This window comes from Homo sapiens, chromosome 2, assembly GCF_000001405.40.
Source record: "Homo sapiens chromosome 2, GRCh38.p14 Primary Assembly".
NCBI classification, from domain to species: domain Eukaryota; kingdom Metazoa; phylum Chordata; class Mammalia; order Primates; family Hominidae; genus Homo; species Homo sapiens.
The window spans coordinates 9,799,816-9,819,555 of NC_000002.12; the positions used below are offsets into that span (position 1 = coordinate 9,799,816).

Here is a 19,740-nt window from a genome sequence, read left to right on the forward strand (position 1 = left end):
GGGATGCAGTGACAACGCGCTTCCAGATCTTGCCACCAGAGGGCAGGAGCGCACAGCAGCCGAGTGTGAGCAGCGCGGCAGAGAGCAGGTCGGGCTGGGTGGGTCCCTGGACATCCAGCCGGCAGGGCAGGGAAGGGCCAGGCGCAGAGGGTAAATGAGGACAGGGCCTTGGGGGAGTCTCTTCATTTCCCATGCCGATTCCAGAGACTTCTTTTCTCTTCCTTCCCTTCCATTCCCCTGCCATCTCTTTTCCACTCCCTCCCCTTCCATGTTGACCAGGGTCCAATTTTGACTTTGTGTGACTTTGGGCCAGAAACCTCTTCTCTCTAAGTTGTAGTTTCCTCGTCTGTAAAATGGGGAAGTAGTGCTACCCAATTCTGGGCAGTTCCCTATCTTCCCTTCCTCAGGCTTTGGGACCCTCTGTAGGGCCACGCTTCTCGGCTCTTAGTGGGGAGCTCCAGACTGTGACCCAGGCAAAGCCAGGGGCCCTTTGAAGTGAGCTGCCTCCTCTGCCCCCTGCCTGGGAGAGGACACCTGCAGGCCTGGCCCTGTGGGGCCAGGTGGGCTGGCAGAGTGGATGGGCTGGGAGCTGTGGCAGCTGTGCCGGGTACACACAGGACATCAGCTGGGCCTGTTCCACTCAAGCATAGATGAGCAGGCAGGCATGAATGAATGAATGAATGAATGAATGAATGAATGAATGAAGAGTGAATGAATGAGTGAATGAATGGGAGAAATTCAGGCATGGCTTCAGAATACTTGTAGCAAAGGGATTTTCATACCCACTGCCAGTGGAACCTGGAAGCCTCCTAAGCCTCTCGGAGCCCAGCTTGAGTGGAGTCCACTGGGGGCTTGTCCTCTTTTTGAAGCCTCTTGTCCCTTTTGGACTCCTCACTGGCAGAAGCCTAAGAGACCCTTAGTCTAAGCTTTCAGGGGGTGAGAGGAGGAGTCTACTAACTGGGAGGGTTTACCCAACATCATTTATTTATTCCTCATCAAACAAACACAACGTAGCCACCCCCTCCGGGACTGTGCCTGTGTCTGTGCTGTGAACATCCCAAGGGACGGTGCAGCTGGTGGGGGTGGAGGGGCCGGAGTGCTCTGAGGAGCCAGGGAAGGCCTCTCCGAGGAGGGGGCTTTTGAGCAGGAGGCCTGTGCTTTGAGCAGAGATCCCACAGAGGGTCCCAGGTCAGCTGGACCGGCACTTCAGAGAAGTCACTGACTGAAGAATCAGAGGCAGGGGGCCCCACGAGCCGAGCCGGTCCAGGCCCCAGGGAATGAGGGCAAAGCGGCAGCCTGCAGTCGGACAGCAGTGCTGGGTCCAGGGGCTCCTCAGCTCCCACGCCCACTCACAGCGCATTGTCTCCAGGGGAAGGGTTTCTGGGCGGGCCCAGGAAATGGGGATGTGTCATCCGAGTGGGTGCTCAGTCCCCAGCAGAGCTCACGGCTGACAGCCAGGCCCGTCTCTCCTGTCACTAGATCCCACCTGCAGGGACTTGCCCAGAGCTGACCTAAATTTCCCGGCCACTCTGTCGACACCTCCAGGGCGGGGCAAGGCATGCCTTCGCAGAAGCCCAAACAGAATTCGTGACCAACAGCACAGAGACTCAACCTCCACCCTGGGCTCAAAGGGCTGCTGTGGTGGGCTTCCTGGGCACTGCCTGACCCTGAGCTCTCCCGGAAGCTGGCCTCTCAGTGGGTGGGGGCAGACAGCACCCGGGGAGGATGTAGAAACATGGCAGACATGGGGATCTAGGGCAGAGGGTGCCGTGTGTGTGTTCGAGGCCCGTTTCCTCTTTGTGAGTCTTCCAGTTTGCTTTTCAGGGAAATAGACTCATTTCAGACCCAGGAGAAACGGTGGGCTTCAGCAGGGCTGCCCCGGGGCCCACCTCCCGGAGCCTTGCTCCCTGCTTCATCCAGGCACCTGGCTCTCCTGCTGCCCTGGGGAAGTCAGAGCCTCCTATCTTGGCAGAAGCCCCCACCCCCAACCTCCGCACACTCAGTTCTCTTGCCACACAGCCTAGAAAATTCTGCCTCTGGCTTGGGGCTCCATTTGCTGAGCCAAGATGAGGCATGAATCACAGGGCTGCGAGCTGCCTGAGGCTGTCTGGAACCCGCAGACCTCAGAGCCCGCAGAACTGCAGCCCCTTCCCCCACCACATCCCTGGGCCATGTCGTCGCCGGCTTCTCGGCTCTTCTCTCACTGAGCCTGCCGTAGTTAAAACAGTTCCAACCTCAAGGCAGCTCAGGTCTTGGGAGCCCAGACAGCTCCTGGGGGTTTGTCGGCCTGATCAGAATAAGCAAATAGTATTCTTTTTAGATTTATTTTCTTGGATTACAAACTCACAATTAAGTCTTTCTAGGCCGGGCGTGGTGACTCATGCCTGTAATCCCAGCACTTTGGGAGGCCAAGGCGGGCGGATCACTTGAGGTCAGGAGTTCGAAAGCAGCCTGACCAACATAGTGAAACCCTGACTCTACTGAAAATACAAAAATTAGCTGGGCATGGTGGCACATGCCTGTAATCCCAGCTGCTTGGGAGGCTGAGGCAGGAGAATCGCATGAACCCAGGAGGCAGAGGTTGCAGAGGTTGCATTGAGCCGAGATCACACCACTGCACTCCAGGCTGGGTGACAGAGAGACTTTGTCTCAAAAAAAAAAAAAAAAAGTCTTTCTAAATAATTTTGGACTCCCAAACAGATCCAGAGGGACTCCAGTTTGAGCCATGTTGAGGGAACAGGGATTTGGCATGGGATCAGCCTGGGGCTGGCTGTGCAGCGTTTGAGGGGCCACCTTCTCTGAGCCAGTTATCTGAGGTGCTGCCTTCTCTGAGCCTTGTTTCTGAATCTAAGGCTCCTCGTAGCTCTGGCATCCTTGCCTCTGATTCCTCGGAAATGTCCCAGGCCCTGCAGCTGACACTGGGCTCCAGGCAAGGCTCTTGGCTGTGTCTGGAGGGGCTGTGGGCCAGCCTCTTGGCATTGGTAGGCCAGCAGCCCAGGAAAGCTCCGTGTTCCCCATCAAGGAGGGGACAGGCATCTGGGCAGCGCAGGGTGCTGTCCCTAGGGGGAATGCCAGCCACATCCTCTAGGGCCCTGGGAGAGAAGTCCCGAGAGCCCAGTACTTTCTCCTCCGTGGCCCACCTGAAACCTGGCCTCAGCTCTTCCCCTGAAGCCGGGAAAGGGCACTGCCTTAGTTTCTTACAAGAGGATGGGGAAAAAGAAATGTGAGAGCTAGAGAAACGGCTCCAGGGACCGAGCCCAGCGCTTTCTCTGCACACACAGCCACTGTAGACATTTGGACTGGAAGGTCTTCGGCACACACTTGGCCGATTGCTCCACATAAGACGGCGGGCCCAGGTTCAAGGTGCACTGTCAGGGACACCTGGGCTTCTTGGCTCCCAGCCAGACGTTGGGCAACAGCTCCAATACCTGTGCACCTCAGCATCCACATCTGCCCGTGCTCTCTGAGAATTAGGCCATGGAATCAACACCTAAGCATCCAGGAAGAGGTGGGAGAGTCACTCAAGAAGCAGGGCTGGCCACATTCGCTACCTGCCTGCATTTCCTCTTCCTATCAGTATCCCAGGGTGCAAAATTGGAATGACCTCTTCCACACAGGAGAGGGTCTGGTGGGACCACCATTCGAGGCCCTCTCTCCCCACCTGCCCCCTGCCCCTGCCACCCACTTGCAGGTAAGGGACAGGCTCCTACGCAGCCTGGTCAGTCACTGCTCCCTCCTGGAGTCTGGCTATTGAAAAGAGGGACAAAGAAACTGGCTGCGGTGCCTCAGTCCTCTCGAGGGGCTAAGAGACAGCTGCCTGCCCTGATTGCTGGGCTCTGAGTCAGAGGTTGCGATCCCTGCTCCAAAGCCTCTGGAATTATCCTGGGTGTTGGCCATGCCCAAGCCTGAGTTCCAGCCCCCTCTGAACTTGGTTCCTGTTATTATTTGAATTATGTTCCGTTATGGCGTTTTTTTGTTGTTGTTGTTTTTCTTTTTTGAGATGGAGTTTCACTCTTTTTGTCCATGCTGGAGTGCAATGGCATGATCTCAGCTCACTGCAACCTCTGCCTCCTGGGTTCAAGTGATTCTCCTGCCTCTCAGCTTTCTGAGTAGCTGGGATTACAAGTGTGCACCACCACACCCGGCTAACTCTTTTTTTTTTTTTTTTTTGAGATGGAGTCTTCCAGGCTGGAGTGCAATGGTGCAATCTCGGCTCACTGCAACCTCCACCTCCCGAGTTCAAGCAATTCTCCTGTCTCAGCCTCCCAAGTAGCTAGGATTACAGGCGCCCACCACCACACCCAGCTACTTTTTGTATTTTTAGCAGAGATGGGATTTCACCATGTTGGCCAGGCTGGTCCCGAACTCCTGATCTCTGATGATCTGCCTGCCTTGGCCTCCCAAAGTGCTGGGATTACAGGCGTGAACCACTGCACCTGGACTACACCTGGGCCTGTTATGGTTTAATTTGTCTTGCTGTGCTCTGAATATTTATGTCCCCTCAAAATTCATATGTTGAAATTTTATCCTCCAATGTGATGGTATAAGGCGTGGGGCCTTCAGGAGGTGATTAGGTCAAGGGTGTGGAGCCCTTGTGAATGGGGTTAGTGCCCTTATCAAAGAGGGCCAAGGGAGCTCATCCATACCCCCTTCCACTAAGTGTGGACACAGCTAGAAGGTGCCATGTATGAGTCAGAAAGCAGACCCTCACCAGCCACCACATCCACCAGCATCTTGTTCTTGGACTTCCCAGCCTCCAGAACTGCAAGAAATAAATGTCTGCTATTTATAAGCTACTCAATTTATGGTATCTTATTATAGCAGCCTGAACAAACTAAGATGGTTCCTTCAAAACTCATATGTGGAAGTTCTAACCCCAGTACCTCAGAATGTGACCTCGTTTAGAACTAGGATCATTGCAGATGTAATTAGTTAACAGTAAGTGGGCTCCTGATCCAATATGGCTGGTGCTCTTATAGAAAGGGGAAATGTGGACACAGGAACATATACATGGAAAATGCCACATAAAGGTGAAGATGGCCATCTGCAAGCTGAGGAGAGGGGCCTGGAACAGACCCTTCCCTCAGAGCCCTTGGAAGGAACCAACCCTGTTGACACCTTGATTTCAGACTTCCAGCCTCCAGGACTTAAATTTGAGAGGAGATAGATAAATTGAAGAAGGAATTCTTGAGACTGCAACACAGAAGTCCTGCCTGAGTTTCCAACCTGCCGTCCTGTTGAGTTTGGACTCAAGCTGCAACATCAACTCGCCTGAATGTTCAGCCTGCCAGCCTGCTGGCCAAATTTCAGATTTGCCAGCCCCCACAATTGTGTGAGATCATTGTTAAAGTCAGTCTGTCTGTCTGCTTCAGTCTCTGTTTCTCTTGAGAACCCTAGTACAGTCTCCCATATATCCTTCCAATAAATTAACTTTTGCTCAAGTTCATTTAAGTTTTATTGGTTTGCAATTAAAAAAACCCGATATGACAGAATGAGAGATTCTTCTATTTTAATTGAACTTATTAACACAGCTTTTAAAAGTGCTAATCAGAACAGCCAAGTGCTTATTTAAGCTTGGAAACAGAAAAAGGAGACCCACCAAGGCTGGAGCTGGCAAGATCCCTCCCACACAGAGCAAGGAGCTCGGTCAGCAACACTTCATATATCTGTCCAGTTGGCAAAGCCCCTCTGTCCAGGAGTATCAGCTACAATGGTCTGACGCAATTGAATATCCCAGTGGCCCAATTCCCATGTTCCGATTCCATGTTTACCAAGCAAACTTCTGCTTCCTAGAAAGAAAAATGCTCTGGTCATGCCTATGCAAAAAGTCAGTTCTTCTAACATTCATGCCTCAACATAAATTGTATACATCACTCACAAACGTTTGTTCTGTGTGGGTCCTCCCCCGAGAGACAGATTCATCTTGGCAAGTTGACAATTCTTGTTCTGAGCCTGCAAGACTCTGAGCATCTGGAGGCTCTGTTGGGTAAACCTTTTAAGGTTCAGAGTGCTGAGCCCTGCAGCAGCCTTTCTGGGAGGGAGTGTGCCATCCATTCCCTGCTGGGCACAGCCCCTCCCTGGCCTGACCTGCCTGCCTGCCTGCCTGCCTCCCCAGACCCCCCTTGTCTCTGGGCTCCCCCAGAGGAAAGGCTACCATGTTGTTGCTCCATTTACCATTAAGTGGCTTCCTTCAGAATGACACCCAAGTCCCTGCAGTGGCTGTCTTCATTTTCCTCCCATTCTGGGACTCTGCCCACGGGCCTCGCCTTCCCACAGGCCTCAGTGCTAACAGCCTACCTTGACCTGGTGTCATCATGGAAGACCCACGACAAACCACCTCTGCTTGAAAGCAGAGTTCACCCTCAGCCCCAATCACAGGAGGTGCTGCTTCTAAACACCTGGTCACTGGCCCTCCCCAACCACCAGGTCCTGCAAGCCTCCATCTCTCCTGTCTTCTCTGCCTCCCTGCATTTAGCTTCTGGGCTGCTGGCTCTTCACAGTTTATCCTCTCCCTCAGCCTCCTTAGGGCCCACCCACATCACACGCCTGCTGGCCCTGCAGTCAAGCTCTTGCCTTTGAGGCCAGCCTGGACTGGTCACCCTGCCCTTGTCAAAGCCCCAGCTTCTGTGCACTCCACTCTGGACAGCCTGACACACCCACTTCTGAGGTGAGCCTGGCAAAGACCTGGAGCCTCTGCCCTCCACCTTGATTTCTTCTCCCAAGCCCTGTCTCTGCCTCAGTTAGAACCCAACTCCAGTCCTGCCTCTGACCCTGGAGCTGACCTCAGTCCTAGGCAGGCCAATGGGAACACAGAAAGAGCATTGGCTCCAGTGGAGATGGCAGATTGGCTCATGTGTTTATCACCTATGGTTTCCCAAGCCCCGCAGGAGGACAGGGCACAGAGACGAGGAGACAAGAGCAGGTGAGAGTTCACCGACTCTTTGCAAGATGGGAAACCAAGAGAACCACGGCAGGCCACTCAGCAGCACCGATGTCAGACCTCCGGGCATGCAGCACACGGTCAGGGCCAGCTTTGCCCTGAAGAACCACTGAGACTCCCGAAGCACCTGCAGCAGAGGGGACCCCAGAAGCCTGGCATGGACAAGAGAGGTGTGGTGGCAAGTCTTTAAGAGAGAGCCCGTCCCTCGGTCGGCATCCCATTCCATGCAGCCGGGAGACTGTCCTGTCCCCACCCCATGGGAGGCCACAGTTAGTCTCTAGAGAAACTGAGCCCAAAATGCTCTACACGTGCCGACAGGCTCAGAAATGGGATAAAGTCAGTGCGGGAGTAAGCCGAAGTCTCCACATCCACTGGAAAGCCCTCGGCTCCTGCCTCAGCTTTGCTCCCTGGAGTAGACGCTGTCCGGGCTCCACCCAGGTGGCCTCGGATCCCTGGACTCTCTTGGGGTGCCCATCCCTCAGCGTCTGCCTCTGGGGCTTCCCACGGCTTGCCCTGCAGCTCACCCTGGAAACTGGCCGTGGGCCCTGCATCCACTTGGCCTGCACTCGCTCCATCCCCCAGGGTGGCCCTCAGACAATGACTGGGGGTTGTGCTGCCTTAGTTATCCATCCAGAAGCTTCCATTTGAGCAATCTACCTGGAGCGAGTGCAGCCCCGTCACTGCGGCTTGGATCTCACCATGCTGGCGTGGCTGCCTCCTCCCCACTGGTTTAAGAGCTGTGGCCACCAAGGCCATCATCCCTGCCCCCACGTCCCTACCTCTTTATAAATGTCATTTCCTTTCCTAAGAGGTTCACCCTCTTTTTAAAACTTTGGTTGTTTCCCACTGCAGCCAGAGCCCAGCAGCAGGTGACCTGTGGCCCTGCCCCAGCAAGGCCGTCTCCACCCCTTCTGGCGCTGGGGACTCTTCTCATCTCCTCCCTCCGCGTGTCCGGCGGGCACCCCTTCTGTGTTCTGCCTATTCTGGAAAGCCTGGAGCGGATGCCCCTGTGCCTTCCTTTGCCCCAGACTGGGCTCCCCAGCAAGAGGGGCATAGAGACAAACTGGTGGTGCTTGGCCAAGTAGCTGTTCCAGAAATGTGTGTCAGGTGCAGATATGTGGATGTCTGGAGATACATTTGAGGTTCTGTGAGAGCCACATCTTAGTTCCCCTGCTCCTCTGGGACCTTGGGCCCCAGTGCCCTCACAGGCATTGCCCAGGTCAGGGTCGAGGTGGCACAGTCACTAAGGTCACTCTGATGGCAAATCTCCCCCAACGCCACCCTGCCACCCAGGGTCCCTCTCTCCACGTGGGCCAGCTCCATGTGCTTCTCTCCCCCCACAGCCCCTTCCTTCTCCTCTACTCTCACTCACAAGGGCCGGCTCAGCCCCCTTTTGGGGTTTTGGTTGTAAGGACAGAGTGGCTGGGGGAGTGGCAGCTCCACGCAAGAGGACCCCACATCCATTTCTGGCCTAGTGCTGCCACCCCTCACTGCTGACTCCAGTACAACCTCCTCCCCACACAGATAATCGTATCTCAAAGCACAAGTTTCCAATCACACAGCAACCTTCTAGAAAGCCAGTGGTGCTACTGAAAAGCCCTGGAGCCCAGAAGGAAGGCTCTAGCTCTCCCCACCCACCCAGAACTCTCTGGGCCTTGGTTCCTGCGTGCCCAGTGCTGGGCACAGCCACCGCATGAAGGGGCCCTTAGGAGTGGCTGTGGGTATTCATGGTGCTGCGTCTGCTTGCCATGAAAAGGTGCCACAACCTTGCAGGGACCTTCCTGGATGTGGACAACCAGCCCCAGGCTTGGCATGCCAGGGTATCTCCTTTTCTGCACCCCTCTCATCACCCTGTGTCCACTTCAACGTCACCTGTTTCCCCTTGGTGTGACCCTGGGAAATTCTGGGTGTCCTCGGGCCTCAGTTTCTCCTCTGGAACGTGGAGGATGTAGTAGTGAGGACACCAAGACACCCTGGGACACTGTTTACACCCCGCACAGGCCTGGCCACCGTGGGGGTCTTTGTTCGCCGGTGCTGGAGGGCAATGGGTAGGCTCCCCTAAGACACAGGCAAAGTAAGCGATGCAGCACGCCCCACCCCCCTCCCCCCCACCCGCCGCCGGAAAGACACTCAGGTCAAGCAGGTTTGGGTGCCTGGCAAGGCAGCGGGAGAGTTTCAGGCCTGTACCCCTCCAATTTCCTCCTGGTCTTTCTCTCCGACACAGCACTGGCTGGTTCCAGAAGACCCCTCTGCCCTTCACACTGAGACCCTCTCCCAGGCAGGGAACGAGAGGCCGAGATTGACAAGAAGCCACTGGGTGCAGCAGGCAGCCCTGCTCCGCTCTGGCCTGGCTATGGGATGCTGGCCAAGAAATTCAACCTGTGAGCAGGAAAACAGGCAAAACCTGCCAGACCATTCCCTCTGAGAGGACGCACTCTTGTGTCTGTGATGAGCCCACATGGTGCTGAGCACAGAGATGCCCCAGCAGAGTGGCTGACATGCCCTTACCCTCAGAGATGGCCGAGCTGAGTGCCTAAAGCCTCCCAAGCAGGCCTGGGATTCACTCTGATCCAACCAACATGGGTGTTGCCCTAATTGTCGCTTTCCTCTGCCTTGAGAACCCTGGGAATCTGTGGGTGAAAACAAGCGGGCCTCACACAGCCCCCAAGCAGGACGCACCCAGCCTCTGGAGCAAACAGTGATACAGGCTGCCTGGGCCCAGCCCAGCTAAGGGAGATGGGACCTGCTGCCCTGACCCCTAGGGCAGGGGCTGGGGGTCTCGGGTGTCCCAACATGACGTTCCTGAGTCATGGCCTGGATTACCCCAGGGGGCTGGCTTGGAACATGCACAGGACACGGGCGCAGCAACCAGGCAGGTGCTCGCAGCTGGCAACAGGTGTCCTGGCTGCACCCAGCCGAGGAGGGGGGTCACAGGGCGTGGCCGGGTGACAGGCAAAACTCTGAGCAGACAGGCAGGGCTGACGGGTGGGTGTGTGTGCTTACACCCACTTGCACTCTCAGTCTCGCTCTGTCTCGAACACACACACACTGCACATGCACATAAGCAAACACACACACAAACACAGACATGCACCCAAGAACATGAGGGCACACATGCAGACAGGGCGGTTTCTGCAGCTCTCCCTTGTTCTCCAGGTGCTCTCTAGGACCCGGGACGCCTTCTGCTGTGGCCACTGCTTCTCCCTGTATGAGCTTCTGATGGGCAGTGATGGTCTCCTGGCACAGGTGCCCAGTAAAGGTCTGCAGCAAGGATGGGTGGATGGGTGAAGAGACGATGGGTAGGAGTGGATTAAGGCAGTCATGGGTGCCTCTCTCCTTAGTCCTCACAATTTCACTTAGATGGGTTCATAGCAGTGGCTGGAAACAGCTGTCTGTTAACAACAACAACAACAAAAAGCCCACTTCAATGACCTTTAAAATAACTTCCAAATAACAAGCAGAACTAAAATGTAAAAGTGCTTCTCTCCCTTCTACATGGAAGCACCGGAGGGCATTTCTGACATGGGCGTTTGGGTAGATAGACAGCACTTGAATATGGTTGGCCTGGGTGGGTTTATGTTACCACTCCGTGGGAAACTGTCCAACTGTGTTTTTATTTCAGAATTCCCATCCCTGCTTTTCACAACAGGCATACAAATCTCTCTCCTGGGCTAGGGGATGGTCACAGTGCTCTCTCTCTCTTCCCCTTTCCTCATCTCCCCTCATCATGCACTTATGGTAAAAAACAAAACAGGCCGGGCGCGTTGTCTCACGCCTATAATCCCAGCACTTTGGGAGGCCAAGGCGGGCAGATCACGAGGTCAGGAGACCATCCTGACCAACATGATGAAACCCCGTCTCTACTAAAAATACAAAAATTTGCTGGGCATGGTGGCACATGCCTGTAATCCCAGCTACTGGGGAGGCTGAGGCAGGAGAATCGCTTGAACCCAGGAGACGGGGGTTGCAGTGAGCCGAGATTGTGCCATTGCACTCCAGCCTGGCGACAGAGCAAGACTCCAAAAAAAAAAACAAAACCCTAACCTGATCAATAAGCCAAAAAAGAACTGAATTCTCACGTGGACTCCCCTACGTATACCTATCCTATACCTATGAGGTATGACCTTAGCAGATTAACCTCTCGATTTCCTCTTCTGTTAACTATGCATACTTCACTGGGTTGTTGTTTGCTTGTTTGTTTGTTTGTTTTTATGAGATGGGGTCTCGCTCTGTCGGCCAGGCTAGCGTGCAGTGGTGTGATCTCCGCTCACTGCAACCTCCGCCTCCTGAGTTCAAACATTTCTCCAGCCTCAGCCTCCCGAGTAGCTGGGATTACAGGCACGTGCACCACGCCTGGCTGATTTTTGTATTTTTAGTAGAGATGGGGTTTCATTATGTTGGCCAAGCTGCCCTAGAACTCCTGACCTCAGGTTATCCACCTGCCTCAGCCTCCCAAAGTGCTGGGATTACAGGCCTGAGCCATCGTGCCTAGCCTGGATTTTTATGAGAACTACATGAATCCAGGTTGGTTTATACTTTTCTAATTGGGGAGAAATTCCCTTGAGAAAATTCAGAAACACATTGAAGATTTTGGAGCCACAGGATAAACACGTTTCTTCATGTTGAAGTGGCAAAGATTTGAAGAAATCATACTGTATTTCCTGTTAAAGCAAACATGACTCAGAATAGAGAATAATGCAGAAATGCAAGAATTTTTAAGCTAAAACTCAGGACTGGAAAGAAACGTCAAGCTTGGAACTCGTAGTGCCAGGCTCTGCCCCTCATCTCACCAAAGCTCAGTTTCTCCCCCGTTCAGGGTTGAATTGTGCCCCCCAAAAAGAGATGTTTTTGTCCTGACCCCAGTACTTGTGAAGGTGAACCTATTTGGAAACTGAATCTTTGCAGAGTAATCAAGTTCAGATGAGGCCATTAGGACGGACTGTCATCCAATACAACTGTCCTTATAAGAGGAAGACAATGGTACATGAGGACAGTGACACACAGGGAGACGCCTCGTGGGGACAGGCAGAGGCCGAGGCACTGCCGCTGCAGGCCAGGACACCGGGGGCTCCCGGCCAGGCCAGCGGCTGGAAAGGCAGGCAGGATTCTGCCCAGAATATCAGAGGGCCTGGCCCTGCCCCTGTCTTGATTTTGGACCTCCTGGCTCCCAAACTGTGAGGGAGTAAATGGCGGAGTCTCAGCCACCCCAGTCTGTGCTCTGTGGCAGTGGCGCAGTATCACACACTCCCTGACTGGGAAAAGGGTGGGAAGTCCTGCAGCTGGCCAGAGAGAACCGGCAGACCCGTTTCAGTCCTGTTATCCTGCCCCGGCGGCCGGGCCAGTTCCCCCCGGGAGCCCCGGTGTCCCCCTCCTGTGTGTCCTGCTGGTTCCCGGCAGATGCTCCGGGCGCCACTGCTCTGTTAGCCGCTGTTGGCCTCCTCCTGTCACATGTTTATGCTTGTAGTAGCAGAATCCAAATCCGGGCCATTATCGCAGGTGGCGGGCCTTAACCTGGCAAGCCTGTGAACCCTTCCCAGTGCTGCCCTGGAGAAGGGCTGGCCGCTCAGGCCCTCACAGCCTGAGAGCTCGGAGAAGCTGCCCCCAGACTCTCAGGGCCCTGTGCCTGCCCCAGCCACTTGGGCCTGAAATTAGCGAGGGGCCACACATAGGGGCCCAGACCAGACCCCAGAGAAGTCCCCTGCCCCTGACTTTCCACACATGGCAGCAGTGAGGTGTCTGCTCCCTGGCTAGGGCAGCATTGTTGAGCCCCCACTGGAGCTGGGCGTCTCCCTGCTCTCAAACAAACCAACTGTGCACAGTGGGGCAGGGACGGTTTCCTAGAGGAAGTGGGGCTTAGGCTGACTCAGGGAAGGGCAGTTTCACTGATAGGATCTGTTTACCCGCCTGACTTCTCCAGCATCACCATAAGCTCACAGGGCTGGAACGGATTCAGGTCGCCCAGGCCCAGGGCATGGGAATTGGAAAACGTTTGTTGAGGTGAATCAAAGCTAGATGGAAGGCCAGGCACGGTGGCTCATGCCTGTAATCCCAGCACTTTGGGACACAGAGGTGGGCGGATCACTTGAGGTCAGGAGTTCGAGACCAGCCTGGCCAACATGGTGAAACCCCGTCTCTACTAAAAATACAAAAACTAGCTGGGCGTGGTGGCGGGCACTTGTAATTCCAACTACTCAGGAGACTGAGGCAGGAGAATCACTTGAACCCGGGAGGCAGAGGTTGCGGTGAGCCCAGATGGCACCATTGCACTCCAGCCTGGGCGACAAGAGTGAAACTCCATCTCAGAAAAAGGAAGAAGAAGAAGAGGAAGAGGAGGAAGACGAGGAGGAAGAGGAAGAAGAAGAAGAAGAAAGAAGAAGCTGAAGAAGCTGGTTGGGAAGAAAGGGAATGCGATTCTATGAGGCTGGAGCCAAGACGAGCTGAAGAAGCTGGTTGGGAAGAAAGGGAAGGCGATTCTATGAGGCTGGAGCCAAGACGAGCACTGGAGCAGAGGTTCAGCACAGCGTCCAGGGAACAGACAGTGCTGTGGGGGGAGCGTGGGGGAGGAGGGGGTGGCAAGGACCCCTGTCCACCATCCTGGTGGGGGCCCAAAGGTGCTTTCAGTGTCCTATCACTGCCATGGCTGCTGGCAGAAAGTCCTGGCAATGATCTCGCACGTCTGGGGCTCAGGAAGGGAAGCCCACCCGCCCACAGGAAAGGGATGCCTGAGTGGCCTGGCCAAACTCTGCCCACATCTCCTCTCTGGCAGGACGCATGCTACCCAGGCCCAGTCCCGATCCCAGGACAGCACCCACAGGAAGGCTGCCAGTGGTTCTCCTGGAAGCAAAGACTCCAGCTGCCTGGCTTCTCCCTTCCCCAGGGACGCCTCCATCCCAAGCTCTGGCCAACAGGCTGCCCAGGCTCCCTGGGAACCCCTGGGTGCCGTGGCGAGTGGGGGCTGTGGTCTCACCCCCGGGCACGCCCTTCCTCCAAAGGCCTGGCCAGTCCCAGTGCATCCTGTGCTGAAACTCCCAGGGGATGGGGTTGGGACAGCCCAGCAGGTTCCAGAATGCTCTCTCCTCTGTCCACCCTGAGTTAGAAGTCTGTGTGGAGGCCCAAAGGTACTTTAAGTGCCCCAGCACTGCCATGGCCTGGGAAGCCAGGACACACAGGCTGAAAGAGTGAGGTCTTCCCATCAGAGACCCTGAGCCCCGAAGCTTTGGAATCAGCAGCGTTCAGCGCGATGGAGGCGCGGTGCCACCAGGTGGCGCCGTCAACCCCTCACTTAGGGCTAAGCGCCCTGGCCCCTCTGGATGAACCAGCAAGGGCGGAGGGGGACACCGGAGAGCGAGACGGCCTCGCTAAAGAAGGCCCCCTGGCCTTTCAGGATGAGGGGCTCAGTCAGCCCAGTGATGGGGACTCCGTGAGAACTGAGCTGTGAAAACGTGTTGGAGGCACAGTACCCACCTCTGCCGCGTCTGAACCCAGATTTGCCAGGAAGGCTCTTGCTTTCTCAATCTCTGTTCCCCGGTCATCACGAATACCCTGTGCTGGTCACTTTGTGCATCCCCATTTTTTTTTTCTTCCAAGGATACGGTCACGTGGGCAGAGCTGCAGAGACAGGATCCTAGACAGGCAGGCCTTGAATGCCAGGGCAGGAGATTGCTGAGGATTCAGAAGATCTCGGGAAGCTTCTTAAAGGCCCTCGACCCCTCTCGCTACCTATGAGGGCAGGACTGGAGAGGAGAAGGGAGAAGGCCGGAGACCAGGGGCAGCCCCCATAGGAAGCAGACTCCAGCCGCCTGGCCTCTCCCTTCCCCAGGGACGCCTCAGTGCGGGGTAGGCGCTACGGGAGACCAGGGAAGGGGCTGCTGCAATATTCGAGGTGAGAGTGTCCTGCACTGAAGCATGGTACAAAGAGGTGGGCTGGAGAGGGACGGTTCCAAGAGCAGCTGGCCACCGTCTGCTGCCCTGGCGTGCCCGCCCATTGTCCTCACTGTCTGCCACACCCTCCCTAGCAGGCCATACAAGGACATGTCCTCCCAATGTCCTGTCCCCCGGCCTCAGGCTCAGTCTTTCAGAATTGGCCTCCCTAATCCCATTCCGTCCAGGCTCTGCTAAGAGACAGCCAGGGAAGCTTGCAGGTGAATGTGCGTCTATGAGCAGGCGTTGTGCATGCAAACAGCCCTGCTTGGTGACGCTGAGCATTTTAACAGGAGCCCTCAGCAAGCAAACTCTTAGTCAAGGGGGTGACCCCTAGTGACATTTCAGGCTTTGGGGAGACCAAATCTAGAAGTCTTCTGAAGTCCCTGAAATCAGAGAAATGGGACCATTCTAATAACCAGAAAAATCAGCTTCCTTTGACCCTAGGCGTCTTCTCAGGTCCCCAAGGACAATCTCCTGCTTAATGCACATGACATCATGTTGACCCATTGGCCCAGGGTTAGCCTTCAGCTCTGCCCCCACCCTAGATCCTACTATAGCTGGAAGGTGGCGACCATTTGAACGTGGGACAAGGGACCATTTCTCCCTAGCAAGATGAAGTCACTTACCCAAGCCTTTGTGACAAGTCCGCATCAGAGCCAGCCCAGAGCTGCATCTCTTCCAGCCCTAAGACTGATGAGATAGATAGATAGATATTTGCCTTCAGAACAGGAAGGCTTTTTGTTAATGACTTTTTGTTAATGTTTCAGGGAGAGGAGCAGAGGAGCTCAGTCCAGTATGATTGGCATTTGGTGAAACCTAGTGGTGCAAATGTTCTGATTGGGATGTAACTAACACTCATCCATCTAACCCCTCTAATGTAATCCAGAGTCAATGCACCGTCTCGAGTCTCCCTCTCTCTTCAACACCCCACCCACCTCGCGTCAATATGGAAATACCGTCATTAAAGATAATTACCGAAGGAACAAGCCCCCTGGAGAGTACAACCATGAGGATAACATGCAAAAAGAAAAACTTAAAGCTCTCCATGAAAATTTACTAAGCTAAGGCAACAGAACCTTCTAATGAGTCCAGGTGCGGGCACCATGAGGTCTGTGTGAGGAAGGTCTGGTGACCTCTAAAAAGGACAGCTGTGGAAGAGGCTCAGGCAGGAATGGCGGATCCACTGTCGGCCTCACTGTCGGCCTCGCCCGGGAATCCGTCTTCATCTTTTCCCTTCTCATGAAGCTGTCTGTTGCCAGGCTGGCTATGGGGCTGCCTTATCCACACAGGAAGCTCACTTTTTGAGAAGGCAGCTGAGCCACGTGATGTCAGACGGAGCAGGGACTTCTGTTTGTCAGTGTCAACCATCTGGGAGCCAAAGGTGTTTCCACAACCACAAGAACCGGTTGAGATATTTTACTTGGATCTCTGGGCATTGCACACATCTGCGTTCCAGCAAGTGACCTCCACGCATGGAGGCAGCGGAGAGGAAGGGAGCTAGCTCCAGGAGCCGCAAAGCTCAGCACATTGGCTACAACACAGCCGGCCGATGACTCTAACGCCAAGAAGGAACTCTGGAAGAGAGGAGATCGTGGTTTATGACTCTCTGTGTCCTCCACACAGACAGCAAAGCACCAACAAAGGATAAAAAAAAAAAGAAAGAAAGAAAGAAAGAGAAAAACCAATACAACATTGATGAATTACGACTCCTTAACATACTCTGTATCCTGTGAGAGAAGTTAATATTCTCCCATTCTCATTGATGAAAATCAGAGGCAGGAAGAGGCCCAGAGGTTTAACCACACTGGGATGTTTCTCTGTGTGTGCGTGTGTGTGTGTGTGTGTGTGTGTGTGTGTGTGTGTGTGACAGAGAGAGAGAGAGACAGAGAGACAGAGTCTTGCTCTGCTACTCAACTCACTGCAACCTCCACCTCCTGGGTTCAAGCAATTCTCCTGCCTCAGCCTCTCAAGTAGTTGGGATTACAGGCGCCAGCTGCCATGCCTGGCTAATTTTTTTTTTTTTTTTGTATTTTTAGTAGAGATGGGGTTTCATTATGTTGGCCAGGCTGGTCTCGAACTCCTGACCTCAAGTGATCTGCCCACCTCGGCCTCCCAAAGTGCTGGGATTACAGGCCTGAGCCACCATGCCTGGCCAGATGTTTCTTAAGGACAGCTTGCCCATGTCCAATCCACAGGGGCCTATAGTCCTACACACTAGTCTGGACTATTCCTAAAATCCACCAGTCACTTTGCGGCCTGCAGATCTTGCCCGTGGACTCCCTCTCCCCGACATTTCTTTTCCTTTTCTCCCCCAGTACAGTCCTGGTCCTGATCATTGTTTATAGGCTTTTATTTTTATTTTTGAGACGGGGTCTTACTCTGTTGCCCAGGCTGTAGTGCAGTGGCGCGATCACAACTCACTGTACCTCCTGGGCTCAAGCAATCCTCCCACCTCAGCCTCCCAAGTAGTTAGGACTACAGGCAAACATCGTCGTGCCTGGCTAATTTTTAAATTTTTTGTGTAGCTGGTGATCTTACTAGGTTGCTCAGGCTGATCTTGAACTCCTGATCTGAAGTCATTCTCTTGCCTCGGCCTCCCGAAGTGCTGGGATTATAAGCATGAGCCACTGTGCCTGGCCTATGTATGGTCTTTTTAAAGCCAGCTTCTCAAGAACCTTCTATAATTCCTCTGGCCAGAGTTTAAAAAAAAGAAGAAAAAGATGGCCAGGCAGAGTAGCTCACGCCTGTAATTGCAGCACTTTGGGAGGCCGAGGTAGGCGGTTCACCTGAGGTCAGGAGTTCGAGACCAGCCTGGCCAACATGGTGAAACCCCATCTCTACTAAAAAAACAAAAAAAATAGCTGGGCATAGTGGCAGGCGCATGTAATCCCAGCTACTCAGGAGGCTGAGACAGGAGAATCGCTTGAACCCGGGAGGCGGAGGTTGCAGTGAGCCGAGATTGTGCCATTGCACTCCAGCCTGGGCAACAACATCAAAACTCTGTCTACTAAATTGAATATCTGCACACCCTATGAGCCAGCAAGTCCACTTCTAGGTTTACAGCCAACAGAAATGCATGCAGATGTACCAAGAAACAAGTACAGTACTCAGCAGCCATTGCTCTTTCCATATGTCCATCAACAAGAGAATGGATGAATATATGTTTATAAAATGGAGTGCTATATGACAATGAAGGGGAAGCAAACTATTAATACCACTACACACAATGACATGAGTCTCGAGTCCAAGAAACCAGACCCGAGTGTGTATAAACTGTGACTACATTTATATAAAGTTCAAAAGCAAACAAAACTAATGCATGGTAGTCAGGAGACTGGCTACTTTTGGGAGGTAAGGACTGGATGATGATAATATTATAATGTCCTGTTTCTTAACATGGGTAGTGATTTACATGATGTATTCACTTTGTTAAAGTTCAACAAGATATATACTTATGACTTGTGCACTTTTTGTACGTGATTTGTGCACTTTGACTTTTTTAGTTGAAAAGTAAGGTGTGAGTGTGCTTCCTTCACAAACCCTTTTCTCCCAGCTGCTTGCAGATGATGATGAGACCATAGGGGATGGTGGAGCAAGAGGCTGGGAGGAACCTCAATCCTTGAGTCACTCAGTGGAGGAAAGCTACCCACGCCCAGGAACAGCCACCTTGACCAAGACCTGGCAAGCAGTAGACTTCTATCTACTATGTGTGTTTAAGCTAGAAAAAAAAAGAGAAGGAAGGAAGGGAAGGAGGGAGGGAGGGAAATAAATGGTGCTTAATATTTCAATAGCAATGATTAGGAAAAGAAGAACATTAGGGTTTTGTTGTTACAAAGGTGGCAAACTCGCCTGGATTTCTGCCTCCATTCCCCTAAAGCAACCTAGTGAATTAAGAAGGCGGCTGAAAAAGGAATGAGGAAGGGCTCTATAAATTGTTATGGAATTATTTTCAGAATATGTTAGCAGGTAGAAAAAATAAAATCCACATGTGGTATGTTACTTTTTGTGTAAGAAAGAGAAATTTTTAAAAATATACAAATCTGTTTATTTTTGCAAAAAGAAACACAAGAAAGATAAACTAGAAACTAATGAAATTAATTACCTACAGAGGTGGGAGGGAATGGAATAGAAGGGAAAGGGGACAGAAGGATATTTCCCTGAGTATACCTTTTTTGCATCGTTTCAACAAACTTTTGTAACATTGTTAATGTGTTACTTATTCAGTAAGTAAAATTCAGTCAGATTGTATGGGGAGGGGTGATCCCTAAAACAGAGAAAAACCAAAACAAATAAATTGAATAAACATCAACCATAGGGGAAAACAGAAAGCATCCCCCACATCTGTGTTTATCTTCACATGGCATTTTCCTGTGTGTTTCTATGTCCAAATTACATGTCCCGCCCGCCTCCCCTCCCCAGTTTTTTTTTTTGTTTTTTTTTTTGTTTTGTTTTGTTTTTTTTTTGTTTTTTTTTTTTTTGAGACGGAGTCTCGCTCTGTCGCCCAGGCCAGACTGCGGACTGCAGTGGCGCAATCTCGGCTCACTGCAAGCTCCGCTTCCCGGGTTCACGCCATTCTCCTGCCTCAGCCTCCCGAGTAGCTGGGACTACAGGCGCCCGCCACCGCGCCCGGCTAATTTTTTGTATTTTTAGTAGAGACGGGGTTTCACCTTGTTAGCCAGGATGGTCTCGATCTCCTGACCTCATGATCCACCCGCCTCGGCCTCCGAAAGTGCTGGGATTACAGGCGTGAGCCACCGCGCCCGGCCCAGTTTTTTTTTTTAAAGAGACAAGGTCTCGCTCTGGCACCCAGGCTGGAGTGCAGTGGCGTCATTATAGCTCACTGTAGCCTCAGTCCTCCTGGGCTCAAGCTATCCTCC

General features: G+C 53.2%; 1 long non-coding RNA gene across 3 annotated transcripts, besides 4 other annotated features; it reads right to left on the reverse strand.

The window, feature by feature from the left end:
• Positions 1-836: an enhancer, noted in NCBI's record as "H3K4me1 hESC enhancer chr2:9939945-9940780 (GRCh37/hg19 assembly coordinates)". NCBI's record gives its function as "activates a minimal SCP1, AML or CMV promoter by ChIP-STARR-seq in naive H9 embryonic stem cells {active_cell/tissue: H9 hESC(naive)}" and the evidence as "EXISTENCE:reporter gene assay evidence [ECO:0000049][PMID:30033119]".
• Positions 837-1,672: an enhancer, noted in NCBI's record as "H3K27ac-H3K4me1 hESC enhancer chr2:9940781-9941616 (GRCh37/hg19 assembly coordinates)". NCBI's record gives its function as "activates a minimal SCP1, AML or CMV promoter by ChIP-STARR-seq in naive H9 embryonic stem cells {active_cell/tissue: H9 hESC(naive)}" and the evidence as "EXISTENCE:reporter gene assay evidence [ECO:0000049][PMID:30033119]".
• Positions 1,005-1,299: a silencer, noted in NCBI's record as "tiled region #9983; K562 Repressive non-DNase unmatched - State 8:EnhW". NCBI's record gives its function as "represses a minimal TATA promoter and a strong SV40 promoter by Sharpr-MPRA in K562 cells {active_cell/tissue: K562}" and the evidence as "EXISTENCE:reporter gene assay evidence [ECO:0000049][PMID:27701403]".
• Positions 5,495-14,902, reverse strand: LOC105373421 (uncharacterized). Of its 3 annotated transcripts, none has more exons than XR_007086206.1 (3): positions 14,405-14,902; positions 5,879-10,332; positions 5,495-5,789 (listed from the first exon to the last, which is right to left on the reverse strand). It is a non-coding gene; the product is annotated as an uncharacterized LOC105373421 (long non-coding RNA). The 3 variants fall into 3 exon arrangements; XR_922782.3 differs by lacking the exon at positions 14,405-14,902 and having other exon boundaries at positions 5,879-5,979; positions 6,298-6,447; XR_922783.2 differs by lacking the exon at positions 14,405-14,902 and having other exon boundaries at positions 5,879-5,992; positions 6,298-6,447.
• Positions 9,627-10,127: an enhancer, noted in NCBI's record as "H3K27ac hESC enhancer chr2:9949571-9950071 (GRCh37/hg19 assembly coordinates)". NCBI's record gives its function as "activates a minimal SCP1, AML or CMV promoter by ChIP-STARR-seq in primed H9 embryonic stem cells {active_cell/tissue: H9 hESC(primed)}" and the evidence as "EXISTENCE:reporter gene assay evidence [ECO:0000049][PMID:30033119]".
• Positions 14,903-19,740: the final 4,838 nt, after the last annotated feature.